General features: G+C 33.7%; 1 protein-coding gene across 8 annotated transcripts in view, besides 2 other annotated features; it reads right to left on the bottom strand.

Annotated features, from left to right (window-relative positions):
- The window catches only part of PRKACB (protein kinase cAMP-activated catalytic subunit beta), a 160,420-nt gene that overhangs the window by 81,601 nt on the left and 60,199 nt on the right, over positions 1-18,620 (bottom strand). For 4 of the 8 annotated variants that reach the window (XR_007061945.1, NM_182948.4, XM_005271020.3 and 1 more), the window contains exon 1: positions 12,350-12,627. The exons of 3 other annotated variants lie outside the window; for them this stretch is intronic. Coding sequence is in view for 3 of the 5 variants with exons in the window: in NM_182948.4 (NP_891993.1) it covers positions 12,350-12,536 (187 nt within the window). In the remaining 2 variants the exon portion in view is untranslated. Of the gene's footprint in view, positions 1-11,579; positions 11,623-12,349; positions 12,628-18,620 lie in introns of those variants that run through there. One more of the 8 variants, XM_047424681.1, reaches the window with a different exon arrangement.
- Positions 195-1,394: an enhancer, noted in NCBI's record as "CDK7 strongly-dependent group 2 enhancer chr1:84621187-84622386 (GRCh37/hg19 assembly coordinates)". NCBI's record gives its function as "activates an origin of replication core promoter dependent on BRD2, BRD4, P300/CBP, MED14 and CDK7 cofactors, with strong dependence on CDK7, by STARR-seq in HCT116 cells {active_cell/tissue: HCT116}" and the evidence as "EXISTENCE:reporter gene assay evidence [ECO:0000049][PMID:35650434]".
- Positions 12,559-12,608: a silencer, noted in NCBI's record as "silent region_1016". NCBI's record gives its function as "represses an Ori minimal core promoter by ATAC-STARR-seq in GM12878 lymphoblastoid cells {active_cell/tissue: GM12878}" and the evidence as "EXISTENCE:reporter gene assay evidence [ECO:0000049][PMID:35858748]".

Here is an 18,620-nt window from a genome sequence, read left to right as displayed (position 1 = left end):
TGGAGCAAATCAGATAGTGTATATCTGATTAAAGAGGACAATTATTCAGTGCAACCCATTTTTTCTCCTGAGAGAATAAGAGGTCACTGAAATCAGTTTCTCCAATGGTTCAAGAATATGAAAGTCCAGATATTTATATGAATCTCTTGATTTAAAATCACGGTATTTTATATTTTTATATAATGATATAAAATTCAACTATTTTTAAAAATACCATGAGAACTAAACAAAACATATCTGCAAGTTGCATCTGGCTCACAGACCACTGGTTTTCTATCCCTGGACTAGATTTCAAGAAAGAAAGGCTAATTTTGGTACAGTGTGGGGATGGGCTGAAAGTACCTTCTCACACATCCAACTTGGCAAGGAAGCCAAGATGACTAAGCATATGAGTATAAATTAAGGAAATGAAATCCTTTGACATAACCTTTGAATGAACATAATACTGAAGAGTGAATCATCCTGTCATTAAGAACCACTGAGGTCTCCGCAAGGATCAGTGGCATCACATCAACAAGACAAGGTACATAAAATTTGTTGGGGCCACTTTTAAATCACGAAACAATGTAGCAGTGGTAAAATCAACAGTGGCTAAAAGTGATATCACTAGCTTATATGTTCATGCTTGTGATCCCAGCACTTTAGGAGGCCAATACAGGAGATTGCTTGACCCCAGGAGTTCAAGAACAGCCCGGGCAACACAGCAAGATCTCATCTCTACAAAAAATAAACTTAAAAAAAATTAGCCTGGCACAGTGGCATGCATCTATATTCCCAGCTACTTGGGAGGCTGAGGTGGGAAAATAGCTTGAGCCCAGGAGAACAAGGCTGCAGTGAGCCATGATCACACCACTACTCTCCAGCCTGGGCAACATAGCAAGACCCTGTCTCCAAAAAATAAAAATCTCCATCTCTTTCTTCAACTAACTTTTGGAGAGCAAATTAGTCTCCTTGGAATGAGTAAACTCCTAGGAGTATAGCAATACTTGAAGCAGCTGAACGAAGACTCTAAGAAAAGACCTCCTTGGAATTCTTGCTAATTTGAATAGATAAGTGTGCCGGTGATTAAACTGAATATTTAAAAGATGACAACTTATTTGTCTCTCAAGTGAGCCATACTTGTTAAATAACAATAATGAAACACCAAAGCTGAAAGCAACCATGGTTTCAGGACATGAAAGTAATATTCAATCTCTCAGACACATATCATTCTTCCTGTTCAACTTATTACTTCTTTCTGAATGACATCTTATTTTCAAAGTTCTTTGTCTCTCAGATCATCTGCTATTACTCACTGACCAATTTTTAACAGTGGAAAAAGTTTTCGTTCAAGATTGCTTAGGATATTAGGGTCTTTTGTGTTTCTATACAAGTTTTAGGATTGTTTTTCCTATTTTTGCGAAACCTGTCATTGAAACTTTGGAAGAGATGGCATTTAATCTGTAGATCGCTTTGGATACTAGAAGCATTTTAACAACATTTATTCTTCAGATCCATAAACATTAGATATCTCCATTCACTGTGTTTTCTTCACTTTTTCATAAATGCCTTACAGTTTCCAGTGTACAAATCTTTCACTGCTTTGGTTAAAGTTATTCCTATGCATTTTTTGTGATATTGTAAAAAGAAGTGCTTTCTTGATTTCTTTTTTCCATAGTTCATTGTTAGTATGCAGAAACACTATTGATTTATGCATTTTAATTTTTTATGCTGCATCTTTATTGAATTTGTTAGTTTTAACAGTTTTTTTGGTAGAGTCTTCAGGGTCTTTAATATACAAGATAATATCATTTGCACATGTAAAAGATTTTACTTCTTCCTTTCCAATTTAGATGCTATTTATTTATTTATTTATTGCCTAAATGCTCTGGATAGGACTTCCAGTATCATATTGAGTAGAAGTTTTAACAGTGGGCATCCTTTCCCTTGTTCATGATCTTACAGGAAAAGCTTTCATCTTTTCACCGCTATTAAGATGTTAGCTGAGGGCTTATCCTATGTAGCCTTTATTATGTTGAAGTACAGCACTTCCATAACTAAAAAGTTTCCATCATAAAAGAATGTTAAAGTTTCTCAAATGCTTTCTCTGCATCTACTGAGATGATTATATATAACTTTTACCCTTCATTCTGTTAATAGTGTATCACATATGTTGATTTGTGTATGTTGAACCATCCTCGATTGTGGTGTATCATCCTTTAATGTGCTGTTGAATTTAATTTGCTAGTATTTTGTTGAGAATTTTTGCATCTATGTTCATCAGGGATATTGGCCTATAATTTTCTTTTGCAGTATCCTTGTCTGGCTTTGGTATCAGAGCAATGCTGCCCTGGTAAATGAGCTTGGAAGTATTTCCCCTTCTTCAGTTATTTTGGGAGAGTTTGAGAAGGACTGGCATTAATTCTTTGTTAAATGATAGAAATTCACCAGTGAAGCCATGAAATACTACTAGGTTTTATTTTGTTTGGGGTTTTTTTGATTACTGATTAAGAGTCTTCATATTCCTTATTGGTTTGTTCATTGCATCAAACTAAAAGCTTTTGTGCAAAAAGAAAACAGTCGACAGAGTGAAGAGACAACCTACAGAATGAGAGAAAATACTTGCAAACCACATATCTAATAAGGAGTTCATATTGAAAATATATAAGGAACTCAAACAACTCAATAGCAAGAAAACAAATACCCAATTTAAAAAATGGGCAGGTGACTTGAATAGGCATTTCTCAAAAGCAGACATAAAAATGGTCAATGGGTATATGAAAAATGCTCAACATCACTACTCATGAGGGTAATGAAAATTAAAATCACAATGAGCTACTACCTCACATCTGTTAGAATGGCTATTATAAAAAAGACAAAAGATAACAAGCACTGGTTAAGACCTGGAGAAAACAGAACCCTTGCACACTGTTGGTGAGAATATACATTAGTACAGCCATTATGGAAAATGATATGAAGGATCCTCAAAAAATTAAAAATGAACTATCATATGATCCAGCTTCTAAGTATGTATCAAAAGAAAGAAATCAGTATGTCTAAGAGATATCTAGATATCTGTACTCCCATGTTCATTACAGCATTATTCACAAGATATGGCATCGACGTATGGTATTCTACACACTGGAATACACTATCAACCTTAAGAAAGAAGGAAATTCTTTCATTTGTGATAGAGTGAATGAACCTGGAAGACATTATATTAAGTGAAATAAGGCAGACACAGAAACACAAATATTGCATAATGTCACACATGTGGAACCTAAAAACATCAAAATCGCAGAAGTAGAGAATAGAATGCTGGTTGTCAGGGGCTGAAGGATGGGAGGGTTCAGGGAAGGAAGATTTAGGAGATGTTGGCTAAAGGGTACAAAATTTCACTTAGACAGGATGAATAAGTCCTGGAGATTCATCGTATAGAATGGTAACTGCAGTTAATAATAATGCATTAATACAGGCACACCCCTCATTTTATTGTGTGTTGCTTTATTGCACTCAGCAGATATTGCACTTTTCACAAATTGAGGGTTGGGGCAACCTTGTGTCAAGCAAATCTGTTGGTGCCATTTTTCTTACAGCATGTGCTCACTTCATGTCTCTGTGTCACATTTTAATAATTTTCACAATATTTCCTTTTTCATTATTATTATATCTGTTATGGCGATCTGTGTTCAGATGTTACTATTTTAACTGTTTTAGGGCACCACAAACTGCACCCAAATAAAATGGTGAGCTTAATTGATAAGGGTTGTGTGTGCTCTGACTGCTCCACTCACCAGCTAGTCCCCCATTTCTCTCCCTCTCCTTGGGCCTTCCTATTCCCTAAGACACAGCAATACTGAAATTACGCCGATCAATAGCCTTACAATGGCCTCTTAGTGTTCAGACGAAAGGAAGAATTGCACATCTCTCACTTCAAATCAAAAGCTAGAAATGATTAAGCTTAGTAAGGATGGTATGTTGAAAGCTGAGACAGGCCAAAAGCTAGGCCTCTTGCACCATACAGCCAAGCTGAGAATGCAAAAGAAAAAAGTTACTGAAGGAAACTAAAAGTGCTGCTCCAGTGAACACACTAATGATAAGAAGGCAAAACAGCCTTATTGTTGATATAGAGAAAGTTGTGTGGTCTGGAAAGATCAAACCAGTCATAGCATTTCCTTAAGCCAAAGCCTAATTAAGAACAAGGCCTTGACACTCTTCAATTCTATAAAGGCTAAGAGTGGTGAGGAAGTTGCAGAAGTCTGAAGCTAGCAGAGGTTGGTTCATGAGGTTTAAAGGAAAGAAGCCCTTTCTATAACATAAAAGTACAAGGTGAAGCAGCAAGTGCTAATGGAGAAGCTGCACCAGGTTATCCAGAAGATCTAGCTAAAATAATTGATGAAGGTGGCTAGACTAAACAACAGATTTTCAATGCAGAATTAACAGTGCTCTATTGGAAGAAGATGCCATCTAGAACTTTCCTAGCTAGAGAGAAGGCAATGCCTGGCTTCAAAGCTTCAAAGGACAGGCTGACTCTCGCTAGGGGCTAATACATCTGGTGACTTCAAATTGAAGCCAATATTCATTTACCATTTAGAAACTCTTAGTGCCCTCAAAAACTATGCTAAATCTACTCTACCTGTACTCTATAAATGGAATGTGAAAGGCTAGATGACACCATATCTGTTTGCAGCATTGTTTACTATTTTAAGCCCACCATTGGGAACCACTCAGAAAAAGATTCCTTTTAAAATATTAGTGCTAATTGACAATGCACCTGATCACCCAAGAGCTCGATGTACAAGGAGATGAACGTTGTTTTCATGCCTGATAACACAACATCCATTCTGCAGGCATGGATCAGGTCTTATTATTTAAGAAATATATTTTATAAGGCTAAAGGTGTCACAGATAGTGATTCCTCTGATGGATCTGGGCAAAGTAAATTGAAAACCTTCTGAAAAGGAGTTACCATTCCAGATGCCGTAAGAACATTGTGATTTATGGGAGGAGGTCAGAATATCAACATCAACAGGAGTTTGGAAGAAGTTGTTTCCAACTCTCATAGATGCGTTTGAGCGGTTTAAAATTTCAGTGGAGAAAGTCACTGCAGATGTGGTAAAAAATTACAAGATAATTAGAATTAAAAGTGGAGCCTGGAGATGTGACTCTATTGCTGCAATCTCCTGATAAAACTATAACGAGTGAGGAGTTGCTTCTTGCAGATGAGCAAAGAAAGTAGTTTCTTGAGATGGAATCTATTTCTGGTGAAGATGCTGTGAAGATTATTGAAATGACACCTGAGAATTTAGAATATTACATCAACTTAGTTGGTAAAGCAGTAACAAGGTTTGAGAGAACTGACTCCAATTTTAAAAGAAGTTCTACTGTGGGTAAAATGCTACCAAAAACATCACATGCTACAGAGAAATCTTTTATGAAAATAAGAGTCAGTCAAGTGTGTCACTTTGTTGTCTTATTTTAAGAAATTGCCACTGCCATCCCAACCTTCAGCGACCATCACCTTGATCAATCAGCAGGCAAACATCAATGCAAGACCCTCCACCAGCAAAAAAATTGGGAAATGCTGAAAGCTGAGATGATCATTAGTATTTTTTTAGCAATAAAATAATTTCAAATTAAGATATGTACTTTTAAAAAGATATAATGTTATTGCACACTGAATAGACTATAGAGTAAACATAACTTAAATGCACTGGGAAACCAAAAAATGTGTGACTTGCTTTACTGTGACTTTAGTTGTATTGTGGTGGTCTGGAACTGGACCTGCAGTATCTCTGAGGTATGACTACATGAAAATTGCTAAGAGATTCAATCTTAAATTTTTTGCCATGAAAAAGTAACTATGTGAGGTGGATATTCATTTGTTTTAGTCATTTCACAATGTATACTTATATTGAACCATCATGTTGTACATTATAAATATACGCAATTTTATTTGTCAAGTATACCTTAATAAAGCTGAGGGGGAGGGAGGAAGAAATAAACTTTCCAGTGTCAACTTATTAAGAATGGAGTTAAATTCTCAAATCCATATTTTTCACATTCAGATTTTTGTTATGGACTGGTCTATTTTGGCATTACTATAAAGAAATACCTAAGGCAGAATAATTTATAAAGAGATTTATTTTGGCTCATGGTTCTGCAGACTGTAGAAGAAGCATACTGCCAACATCTGCTTCTGATGAGGGCCTCAGGAAGCTTTCAATGATGGCAGAAGGCAAAGAGGGAGCAGGCATGTCACAGGCAAAGAGAGGGAGCAAGAGAGAGGGGGAAGTGCCATGTTTGTTTTAAAAAAACAACCAGTTATTGCATGAACTAATAAAGCAAGAACCAGCTCATTACCCATTGGGAGGACACCAAGCCATTCATGAGAGATCCTCCCCCATGACCCAAACGCCTCCCATTAGGCCCCACCTCCAACACTGGGGATCACATTCCAACATGAGATTTGGAGGGGACAAACATATAATGTTCTTACCATGACCCTGGTAGTTGTAACAGAAGGAAGTATAATGGGCCATTATATTTTTAATTTTTAAAAATATCAATATACTGTTTTGAGAATAAATTTTACAATGTTAAATGTGTTTTCTTTATTTTATTTTATTTTAATTTATTTTGAGATAGAGTCTCACTCTGTCACCCAGGCTGGACTGCAGTGGTGCAATCTCACCTCACTGCAGCCTCTGCTTCCTGGGGTCTAGTGATTCTCCTGCCTCAGCCTCCCAAGTAGCTGGGATTACAGGTGTGCGCCACCACACCTGTAGATGGAGCCTGGCTAATTTTTGCATTTTTAGTAGAGACAGGGTTTCACCATGTTGGCCAGGCTGTTGTTGAACTCCTGACTGCAAGGGATCTGCCCACCTCAGCCTCCCAAAGTGCTGGGATTACAGGCGTGAGCCACCACACCTGGCCTTAAATTTGTTTTTAAAAATATCATTAAGGATAGTAGCTATATAATTATTTTCACACATTCTCAAGTGCTATAATCTATGAAAAAATAATTATTATAATAATTAACTCCAAAAAGATATGCATGTTTATCTGGGATTCAATTAATTTAATGCAAAAGCCTTAAAATGGTCATAACTTCTTCAAATTAATCCTATAAAATATAAAAATAATCCTAAATATGTACAAATATTTAGTTATAAAGATGTTTATCATGGCATTTTTTAATAGCAAAACATTAAAAACAGCCTAGATGGCCAATGATTGGTTAAATAAATTATAGTATATCCTTATGATTTAATACAAAATAGTATTGTAGAACAACTCTTTATAAAGAAAAATGTTAACTAAACATTATGTTTTGAAAGATCCAAATTCTGGAGCTGGGCTGGGTGCAGTGGCTCAGGCCTGTATTCCCAGCACTTTGGGAGGCCAAGGCAGGCAGATCACTTGAGTTCAGGAGTTCAAGATCGACCTGGGCAACATGGTGAAACTCCACCTCTACCAAAAATACAAAAAATTAGCCGGGTATGGTGGCACATGCCTATAGTCCCAGCTACTTGGGAAACTGAGATGGGAGGATCGCTTGAGCCTGGGAGGCAGAGGCTGCAGCGAGTCGAAATCCCACCACTGCACTCCAGCCTGGGTGACACGGTAAGACTCTGTTTAAAAAAAAAAAATTGGAGCTGGTAGAAATTTGTGTGTCTATACACAAAATAGAGTATATATACAAAAATTAACAGTCATTACCTTTTGGCAGAATTATGTATACTTTTTTTTACCTTTTTGTTTTTTCCTGTAGTTTCAAAATTTTCTCCAGTGAAGATATACATTTGGAAATCATATTAAAATGTTATTAGGGAAAAAGTGCTTCTCACACCTTAATGTGCATATAAATCAGCTGGGAAATCTTGTTAAAATGCTGATTCTGACTAAGTAGGTCTAGGTGGGACCTGGGATTCTTCCTCCTAACAAGCTCCCAGGAGATGCTAATAATGCTGGACAGGGACCACACTTTGAGTAGCAAGCTGTCTTCTAACTCTGTCATATGGCTATTTTTGCAAAGCACAAGCAAGTAAAAGCTTCTCGTTATGTTAGTACAGTTGATATAGTACTTGCATTGCTAAATGGCTCATGGAATGATTTCCTGATTTCAACATCATTTAATATCCCAACTATTTTAGTTTTACTATAAAGTCTGCTTGTTACTTAAATTTTTATTGGAAATCATGATAAAAATACACAGGTAACACTGAAAATTGGTATTTACTAGAGCCAGGTCAGCATTTGACTGCTTTTGGTTAATGGCCATGGGCTTTTAAAATAAATTGCAAAGATCACAATAGCACAAATTAGTAAGAAGCTCATTTGTGTAATACTGCAGTGATGTTTAATGTTAATTTAACAAATAACTCAAGATTTATTGAAAATTATGCTAGTAATACTGAAATAAACTGACAAGTTATTTGCCTTCAAGGAGTTCAAAATCAAACATGAGAGACAGATACATAAGGATTAATAGTAATGCATTTTAAATATTATAAACTATAATATATATAGTATACAAACTATACCATATAAATACTATAAATAAACCACAATAAAAGTTAAGTATAAGATGATATAAGAACATAAGGAAGAGCACAGACTCTAAGAAGGATGAAGGATAGATGAATAGGATACATTGGTGGTTTTGTTACAGAGATGATACCTGAGAGGATGCCTAAAGTATGGGCAAATCTCACCACTGGTAGAAGTGAAGAAAGAGAATTCCAGACAGAAGCAGCAACTTGAACAAGCACTGTTGTAAAAGGAATCCATTATCTGACTATTCATTGCCATGCTGACTGTCACGTCAAAAGCGTTAGTTCTAATTAAATGCCCAGCAAAAACGGAAGATGTATAGTAGCTATACACATTTCTCTGTAGTAAAGTAAGTTAACTTATCCTGTATTATGCTAGTTAAAATCTTTAGGCTCTTTTAACAAAGGTTGCATTATATTATTTTCCACTTTAAAAAACTGCATTGGCTCCCCACTAATACAGCGTAGTACAAAATTCTGGATGTCTAATAGAAAACTTTTAAAGTTTAAATCCAGAACCTAATTTTCTAGACAGTATCTTACTAAACCTTTTAAGTAAGTTCTAAATGTTCATATTTTCAAATACTTGTGTATGTTATTTTCTTAAAATAACCTTCTTCTCTAGGTCTCAAAATTCTATTCATTCTTTAATATTTTTGAAGTCCCCCATTTTCTCTTTAGTAACAACTTTTTTCTTACACTTAGCTTCCACAGTAAGCTTAGACATTTTAAAGCAACTATTTCATTATGCCTTGAATATTATATTATGTTTGCTCTTCTTTTTGGGGGTAAGAACTAGATCTTATTTTTCCTGGAAACTTGCTTACTTACTATGATATAGTAAATACTCAAAAAAGTTTTACCAAATGAGTAGAAATTGACTATTATCAAGAAGCTTATGGAATAGTTTCAAGTGGAAAAAGCTGATAAAAAGACAAAGGTGGAAAGTCTTTTAGCTGAGAAGTTAAAATGATACAGATTCAATGGGCTAACAAATAGGAGGTAAACTGTCTGAGAGATTGTATAAAATTTGCAAAGGTAAAACTGACTGAAGTGGTCTACTGTAACCACTTTATGATTTTGCTAGAGGACATCCATAATCAAAACTGCTCATTTGTTTAATATATTTAAATCTAAGATTTACTAAAATGGATTTGTATTTACAAGAGAAATAGCCTGTCAATTCATAGGAAAAGGGAAAGAAAAAGTATTTGATGGTATTGACCTATTTGCTTCTTAAAATACTGTAGTTAGACCTTCATTAAGTCAGCATTGTATAACTCTACACATTTATGATCAAAGGAAGATTAAAAAGCTAACTATAATAAATTTGCTAGAAAGAGAACTTAACGCATGTCAATGCTCTCATTCATTCTGAGTTGGAACAAAAAGCAGAATTCCTCCATGCTTTTCTTTGAACTTCATGTATTTATATGTGCATGCAATTAGCTGTTACATATTTATTTAATCAAACAGGAATTTCTGTTACTTAGTTTAATAGTAAAAGATGAAACACCTGAGACCACTATGTGGCCTTTGTTCTGTGTTTCTTCCTATACATAATGTCACTGGACACGAAAGAAACTTGGATTGAAGCATGCTGCATTTCATGTCTCCTAAATTGGTAACTGATCTTTATACAAAGGTTTATGAATTTTTTTTGTAAATTGATGTAGTTTCTATGCTTAGTTTATTTCATTATAAAAACACTTTAGGAACAAACATATTCAGTGTTTATCATCAGGAGACATTACATTCCCTTGTCAAATGAGTCATGCAAGTAAACTGCTTTAAGTAGCTTTGAAGAATGTGGTTCATATGAAACTTTGTACAGTCAGAACTCCTTCTATAACTCATTCGCCAAATAAATAAAAATTGTGTTTTCACCACAAAAATAAACCTTGGAATTTTGAAATGATCGGATTCCTCTATTTCAGCTCTATCAGTGTTTTCTCCTCTACAATAATACATTTCATAATAGGAAATTATAGCTTCATGCTACCATACTCATCCTTAGACATAAAATTATTATCTCTATTATGGTATTCAGGGATATAAAAAGGAGAGTCAAGTAGAGGAATGCTTAATTAATGAACATTCAGTTACTCTTTAAGTATTTCTTACATCATGCATATTATTTGCAGCGCTACATGGTTTGCTCCTAATTTTATTTGTGTACAAGAATCCTATTTGTTTTGACTTCACAATAAAAAAAAAACAAAACAGCATTTTATCCAATAGAAATCATGGCTCATGATACTATTTTCCATTACTAGATTTTAAAATATGTTTTAGAAAGCATCACAGATCCCATACATTTAAAAAGTGGTGAAAGTCTAGTTCAAACATAACTTTTAATTATTAAAAACCCCTAACATTCATTTATTTGAGACACTTTTACTAAACACCCACTATATGAAGAGCAGGTATTAATGAAACAGAAATTAATTCAATTCTGTCTTAATTCCTCATTTAACTTTAAATTAAAACATACTTGAAATGCATAAAAATAATTTCCAAAAGGATTTAAAAGACTGCAATTTAAAAGAATAGGGCAAGGACAATAATTAACAAGCTTTTGTTACATGGTAAAGTTTAATATTATACCACTATTTTAATATTCAACAGTTCATTAACTTGAAGATATATATTCATATTCCTCATCCATCAACTTGCTATACAGTAAAGACTATAAATAACCCAAAACCTTTTAAGTGGAAAAAATGCACAAATACATGTTCTTCCTCAATCTCCCAAAAATAGTTTGAAGAATGTAAAAAAATTTCTGATTTAGTAAAAAATTAATTCAAATAAGCTTCTATAACACTGTCAAGGTGCTGTATAAACCTAGGAGTAAATTTTGTAAGCCATTCTTGATTTTGCTGTTGTGGTTGTTAAGCTGAGTTTTCTTCCTTAACTGCTACCAAATACATAAACAGAAAGAGTCAAACGCTAGTGCTATTTGATGATCAAACAAACACACCAAAGAGGGCAAAAGTTTCAAGGGTAATTCTATTGTTCCTCTAATTGGAGTCACAGAAATACCTTGAGGAGGGTCCAAGGTGAGATGTAGAATGGCGGCACTAGTATTGTTTATATGTGCAATTTATCTTTTAGAGTGTATGGCACCAAAAATGGTTCCCCAGCACCATTTTAGCAAAGCTGCAAGTTCAAACATTTTAACATGCCTGAAAGAATGTGATTCATGCATAACCAACTTTTCCTGCATTTGAGTCATATGTATAAATAACATAAAATATAATTATAAAGTTTTTGATATCCATAATGTTATAAGTGTAAGAATTTAGATAGAATAATTATGTTTTATTTTAGAAATTCCTGTTTGTAAAACTGAAATAACTTTCTCACATGCATTTAAAAATAAAACCATGGCAAACACAATAGAAATGTAATTATAAATTCAAGAGTCTTGTTGCCCCTTTCAAAGTTTAAAGCTTATAAATACAAGACATTTTAAGAAGTAAACAGATGGTTGTTTCTGAAACTTAAGTATTTCATTTTTATGTAAGAACAACAAAAAAAAGTACATTAGAAATGATGTAAGAATTTTATAGAAAATCTTGTCACTGATATTGAACTTAGTCAAAAATAAAACCATACAATGATGAAAGCTGAATGATTCAGCTCAACTTATAATCAAGTTTTTATGGAATTCTTTCAACTTCATCTTGCAAAATGTCCTTGTGAAAATCAGAAAACAACAAACAAAAGAGGGTTCTTTATGTTTGATTGTAAAACTCCAATTACCATTTTAGTTGCTAGTTATAATGTATCATTTAAAAAACAAAACTTACTTGATCTGTCCCATAAGGCAGTATGTTCAGAGAAATGAAGGCTGTCATTTTCCAGAGCTGTTTTCTGATCATGTGCAGTACCTTTAGAGTGTCTATGAAATAACCGGCTAGCAAAACCTTCCAATTTCTGAAGAGCTGTAGTTGTACCTGTATACTGGTTACAAGGTGGTTCTCTATAAGCTGCCATTCATGTGCATTTACACTTTACTTAATGTAACTGCAAATGTTTCCAGAAGGAGCTCACAACTTCTTACACAGAAGCTAAGAGCTATGCATGTGTCAAACTTCCTGTTTGCAGGGTATTCAAACCACTACTGCTGTTCTGTTTCCTGTTAATATAAAACAGCACATTACTGAGCTTTTCTTAGCAAAACACTTTTCAGCTAGAGTTGAGGATTTTAAAAACTTGCAATATCTGCCTAAAAGGCTTTATGTTTGGGTGTTTTAATATTAATATATAGGCTAATGAGAGCATTAAATATAAAGCTTTATATATATAGTAGGCTAAACATTCTTTAAAAAGAAAACTAGTTAAACATGTATGACAAGTCTATGCAAACAACTGAAGGCCAAGCTGTCCTCCAAACACAACATGCTAAAGACAGGTTGTATTTTTTCTAGGAAATCAACTAATATACAGATTTTATGAATCCTTATAAGCAGCTAACTTTTCATAAAAAAAAACTAGTATGAAATGGGTATGAAAAAACTCTTGCAAAACAAATTTATAACACGTATAAATAAAACAATGTGAAATAGCACTTTAAAAAATTGAATGTTTCTAATTCATTGATTTAGGCCTAATACATACAGGAACTACATACACTTAGTATGTCAGTATTGCTTATCAAACTTATAATCTGCTGACATATGTCTATTACCAGGGGTACATTTTAAAACATTCTAAAATTTGAAAAGAACAAAATACAAGATTTAAATTATATAAAATCCACCATAGCAAGAAATTTCAATTGAGAGAAAAAAGTTCCTTCTAGTTGGCTGAGACATGTTAATTTTAAAACCTTACCACTGAAGACTACTACTTACCTAAACCCCTGATTTAGTGATCTCACTTAGAAACACCTCTCTATTTTTTTTTAAACGTTGTTTCACTCTGTCTCCCAGATTGGAGTGCAGTGGTGCGACCTCTGCTCACTGCGACCTCCGCTCCTAGGTTCAAGCGATTCTCGCCCCTCAGACATCCGAGTAGCTGGGATTATAGGCGCGCACCACCATGCCCGGCTAATTTTTGTATTTTCAGTAGAGATGGGGTTTCTCCATGTTGGCCAGGTCAGGAGTTGTCTCAAACTCCTGGCCTCAAGCGATACGCCCGCCTTGGCCTCCCAAAGTGCTGGGATTACAAGTGTGAGCCACCGCGCCTGGCCAAAACATCTCTTTTGATTAAAAGTAAGTAAAACTTGCCTTGTCAATTTTCAGGAAAGAAAGTAACCTGTGGCATTTAACAAAAATTTTGAGTACTTGTTTTTTTGACACTAAAGGATAAGAAATTTCCGTGGTTCTCTTTGGAAGCAGAGGGGAGGGGAGGGAAGGGAAGGAAAGGAAAGAAAGAAAAAGGTCTATCTAAAACAATCTATCTAAAAAAATCTTACTTCAGATTTACTGCCAACTGTTTGACAAACATAAAAAATAGAAACAATACTGATAAGTAAAATAAATAGGAACAATAATGTAATCAAATTAGGACTACATAAAAGGCCAATAAGAAAACACTGATTAGTGAATTTTGCCATTTAACAGTTCATTTGTGTATACTTTGTGTAATGGAATTCATATCAATCTAAACAAGTATGTAACAGTATCTATAAGATAAACTTAAATTTATAGCTTTATGTATAAATATTATGTGTGAATAACAGTTAACAAAACACTGACCAATGAATTTTGCCATGTAACAGCTCATTTCTGTATACTTTGTTTTGTGTAATAAAATTTTTATCAATCTAAACAAATATGCAACAGCATCTATATGACAAAATTCTTAAATTTGTAGCTTTATGTATAAATATTATGTGTGCATAACAATAATTTGTTTCTTAACATCTGGTAGTGCCTTACACAAAACAGACACTTATTAAATGTCTGTAGTCTTCAACAAATATCTACAGAGCATGGACTGATTCTGTAAGGGAAGAAGTGGATAAAATTACTGAATTCCCTTGATTTGCTCTACTGAAGGAAATTCTAATCATCTTCAAGGCTTAGTTCAAATGTCACCTCTTCAGTGAAGTCTGCCACATACTTCCTAGGAAAACAAACTTTGCTGCTTTGTTTTCACTGACCTCATAATATTATGTTAAAAGGTACTGTTTATGAATTTATATGACCCTAAATTGTGAGTTACTTGAATTCATAAATGAAATGCATGTATTACATACTCAATAAACATGTTAAAAGAAAAAAGTATTCACTCATTTTTAACAATTTAAAGGTCTAAGTAGAATCACCGAATACTTGAAAATGTTTGAATTTTATTTATGATGGGACCATATTTATAGATAATCCAAGAAGCACCAAGTTGCTCATATATAGAGACAAGAGTAATAGAACTGTTATCATTGAACTTCTCCTTTTTTCTATTTGTTACTAAATTTTATTCATTCTTTGAATTACATTTTTACTCAGTGCCAATGTGGACTTCTTAACTTCTTGTTTTCCCCGCTTCCAATTACCCCCTTTAATCATTCACCTCTCTGACATATTAACCTCCCCAAAGTATTACACTCATGGTATTCCATTGCCAAATACACAAACTAATCGTAACATTTCAGCTGGACCGTATTCATTTTTAACACATCTAGCCAGATTTTTTATTTATATTCAATGTTGCTCAAGTACAGAAGTTGCAGATTCCTAACTAGAACACTAAGATTACTTTATTTAAAACAATGCATAAGCTTTAAAACAAAATTACTAAAGCAAAAAGAGTAAACTTCACTAGATGAGTATCTTGAAAACACCGTATTTTAAATCTGCACTGTTTTAAAAATAAAATTGTTTCAATTTGTTATCAAGTCCTTCCAGAAAATAGAATATTTAATATTTAAAGCAATGTTTCTATATGTGGTAATGTGACCAGGAAGCTATTGCTATAGAAGTACTTCGGATATTTGATTTTTGATTAAGAAATAAAAATAAAAAGAAGAACTCTACTGGCATCTACTGCTAGAAAGAAACAACTGCAGTTTTAACTAAAACTATGAATTCCTTCATAACTGCAATTAACTTTAAGAAGTATATTGCTTGTTATTCTTCCTAGCGGTGTTTCCACAACTTTAATTCGCACTAAATGTCTCGCCATGCACCGAGAATTTACCAGAATAGCTTATCTTGTAGTTAAATAAGATTTTAAAACTAGAGAGTAATCAACTTCATGAGGTTGATTTTATTCCTCCTTCATTCTGCATTAATTTTTAAAATTATAGAAATTTTCAGAGTTGAACCAGCTTTAATTGCCACAAAATACCACAAAATATTGGTTTCTTTTATTTAATAATAGTGATGACACATTTACCAAGCACTTTACCACATATAAAGTGATTTACTCTGTAAAACCATTGTGAAATTACTGTAATGCACCTGAGATCCTTACAAATAAAGTAAGCAGCACAGGTATTATTATCCTTATTTTAAGATGCAAAAAAATAAACATTAAGTGACTTGCCCAAAGTCACCTAGGTCTTCAAACTCCTAGATCAGGGTTTCTTGTACTGCAAGACACTGATTACCACATGAAGTAAACATTTTATTTTTAAATGCAGTTATTTTCCAAATAAGAGTGAAGAAGTTGGGGTGAAAAAATAGTGGTGGGTAAGATTCATTCTTGGATATATTGTCCCAGGTCTGAAAATCTGCTATGAGAAGGTTTTAATTAAGACGGTCACCTATAGCCATAAAATTTCATTGTCCATGTTTCTTACAATCATCTTGGGGCCAAGCAGAACTATGTACTTTAGAGTTTAAAGGTTAAATAAAAGAAAAACATGAAAACATATTTAATGTGTAAATGATGTATGTGCTCCATGTAGAGGACAAATGACATGACTATAACTCCTGCTATTCAAATAAAGGTTTTAGGGTAATAGTGTTGCTTTTTCCAGAATGTTATATATAAGTGGACTTATAGACTATGCAACATTTTCAGATTGGCTTCTTTCATTTAGTATAGTATGGCAATTGTGATTTATCTATGTTGTGTATCTTAATATTCACTCATTTATATGGCTAAATTCTATTGTATGGAATTACCACAATTTATATATCCATTTACTGTTGAATTGCATTTGCACCTTTGTCAAAAATCAATTGACCATATTTGTGTGAGTCTATTTCTGGACTCTCTATTCTCTTTCACTGACCTATATATGTGTCAATTCTTTCACCAATACTATACTGTCTTGATTACCATAGCTTTCTAGTAAGTCTGAAATCTGATAGTGTAAATCTTCTATTTTTTTTTCCTTTTTTTCTTGAGACGGAGTCTCAGTCTGTCGCCCAGGCTGGAGTGCAGTGGTGTCATTTCGACTCACTGCAACCTCCGCCTCCTGGGTTCAAGCTATTCTCCTGCCTCAGCCTCCCAAGTAGCTGGGACTACAGATGCATGCCACCACACCCAACTAATTTTTTAATTATTTTTAGTAGAGACAAAGTTTCACCGTGTTAGCCAGGATGGTCTCAATCTCCTGACCTCGTGATCCGCCCACCTCAGCCTCCCAAAGTGTTGGGATTACAGGCGTAAGCCACAGTGCCCGGCCCTTTTTCCTTTTTTTCGAAGTTGTTTTGGCTACTACAGTTTCTTCACCTTTCCATATAAATTTTAAGATCAGTTTATCTATGTCTACAAATATAATCTTGCTGGGATTTTATTTGGATTATGCTTATTGGAAGAAATGACATCTTAACCATATTGAGTCTTTCAATCCATAATCATAGCATGTCTCTTCATTTACTTGGGTCTTTTGAATTTCTTTCATCAGTGTTTTACAGTTTTCAACACACAGATCTTGCACATAATTTTGTTAGATTTATACCTAAGTATTTTAAAAATTGGAGCTATTGTAAACAGTTCTTTAAAAATGTTTTATTAGATGGGTACACAGTAATTGTGGTTTTCACCATTACTTTCAATGGCAAAAACCTCTATTACTTTTGTACCAAACTAATACATTGTGCATTGCTACTATATATTATTTTTATATATTATTGTTGCTAAACTCAGTTTTAGGAGACTTTCTTTTTATAGATTTCTTGCAATTTTCTATGTAGGCAGTCATGTCGTCTTTCAACAGGAACTATTTATTTCTAATCTGTATGCCTTTTATTTATTTGTCTTGCCTTATTGCATTGGTCAAGAATTACAGTGCAATGTTGAACAAGGTGGTGACAATGAACATTCTTGCCTTATTCCAAGTCTTAGGAAGAAAGCATTCAGTTTTTCATCATTAACTACTAAAATGTTAGCTGTAGACACTGTTTTGTAGATGCCCCTTATTGAGATAACAAAGTTTCCTTTTTTTTTCCTGGGTTAGTGAAGAGTTATCTTAGGAGGATGCTGAATTTTACCTAATGTGTTTTCAGCATTTGTTGATAAAATCATGTGGTTTTTACCTTTTAGTCTACTAATATGGTGGGTTGCACAGATTAATTTTCAAATATTGAACCAGCTTTGAATTATCAGAATGAACCCCTTTTGGTCTTGGTGTAATATTCCTTGTATATATTGCTGGATTCAACTTACTAATATTTTACTGAGGATTTTTCTGTTTGTGTTCATAAAGATACATTGCTTGGTAGTTTTATTTTCATGTGCCATCTTTGCATGATTTTGGTAGCAGGTTAAGATTGGCTTCACAAAATAAGTTGAGAAGTATTCTGTCTTATATTTTTCCAGAAGAAACTGTGAGAATTGGTATCATTTCTTCTTTAAATGTTTTGTAGAATTTCCCAGAACTATCTGGGACAGTGTTTTGTTTTTCGTTTTTGTTTTTGATTTTTTTTGAAGATTACAAATACTAATACAATGTCTTCAATAAACAGAGTATTACTGAGTTATCAATTTCATCTCGAATGAATATTAGTAGTTTGCATCTTTCAAGAAATGGTCTATTTCAACTAAGTTGTCAACTTTGTGTAATAAAGTTGTTTCTAATGTACACATTACTCTTTTAATGCCTGTAGCATTTATACAACATTACATTATTTATTTTGTTGGTCAAATTATTCCATTTTGACCATGGGAAGCTCCATCAACTTC

This window comes from Homo sapiens, chromosome 1 (assembly GCF_000001405.40).
Source record: "Homo sapiens chromosome 1, GRCh38.p14 Primary Assembly".
Lineage (NCBI taxonomy): Eukaryota > Metazoa > Chordata > Mammalia > Primates > Hominidae > Homo > Homo sapiens.
This window is presented reverse-complemented; position numbering and strand designations above follow the sequence as displayed.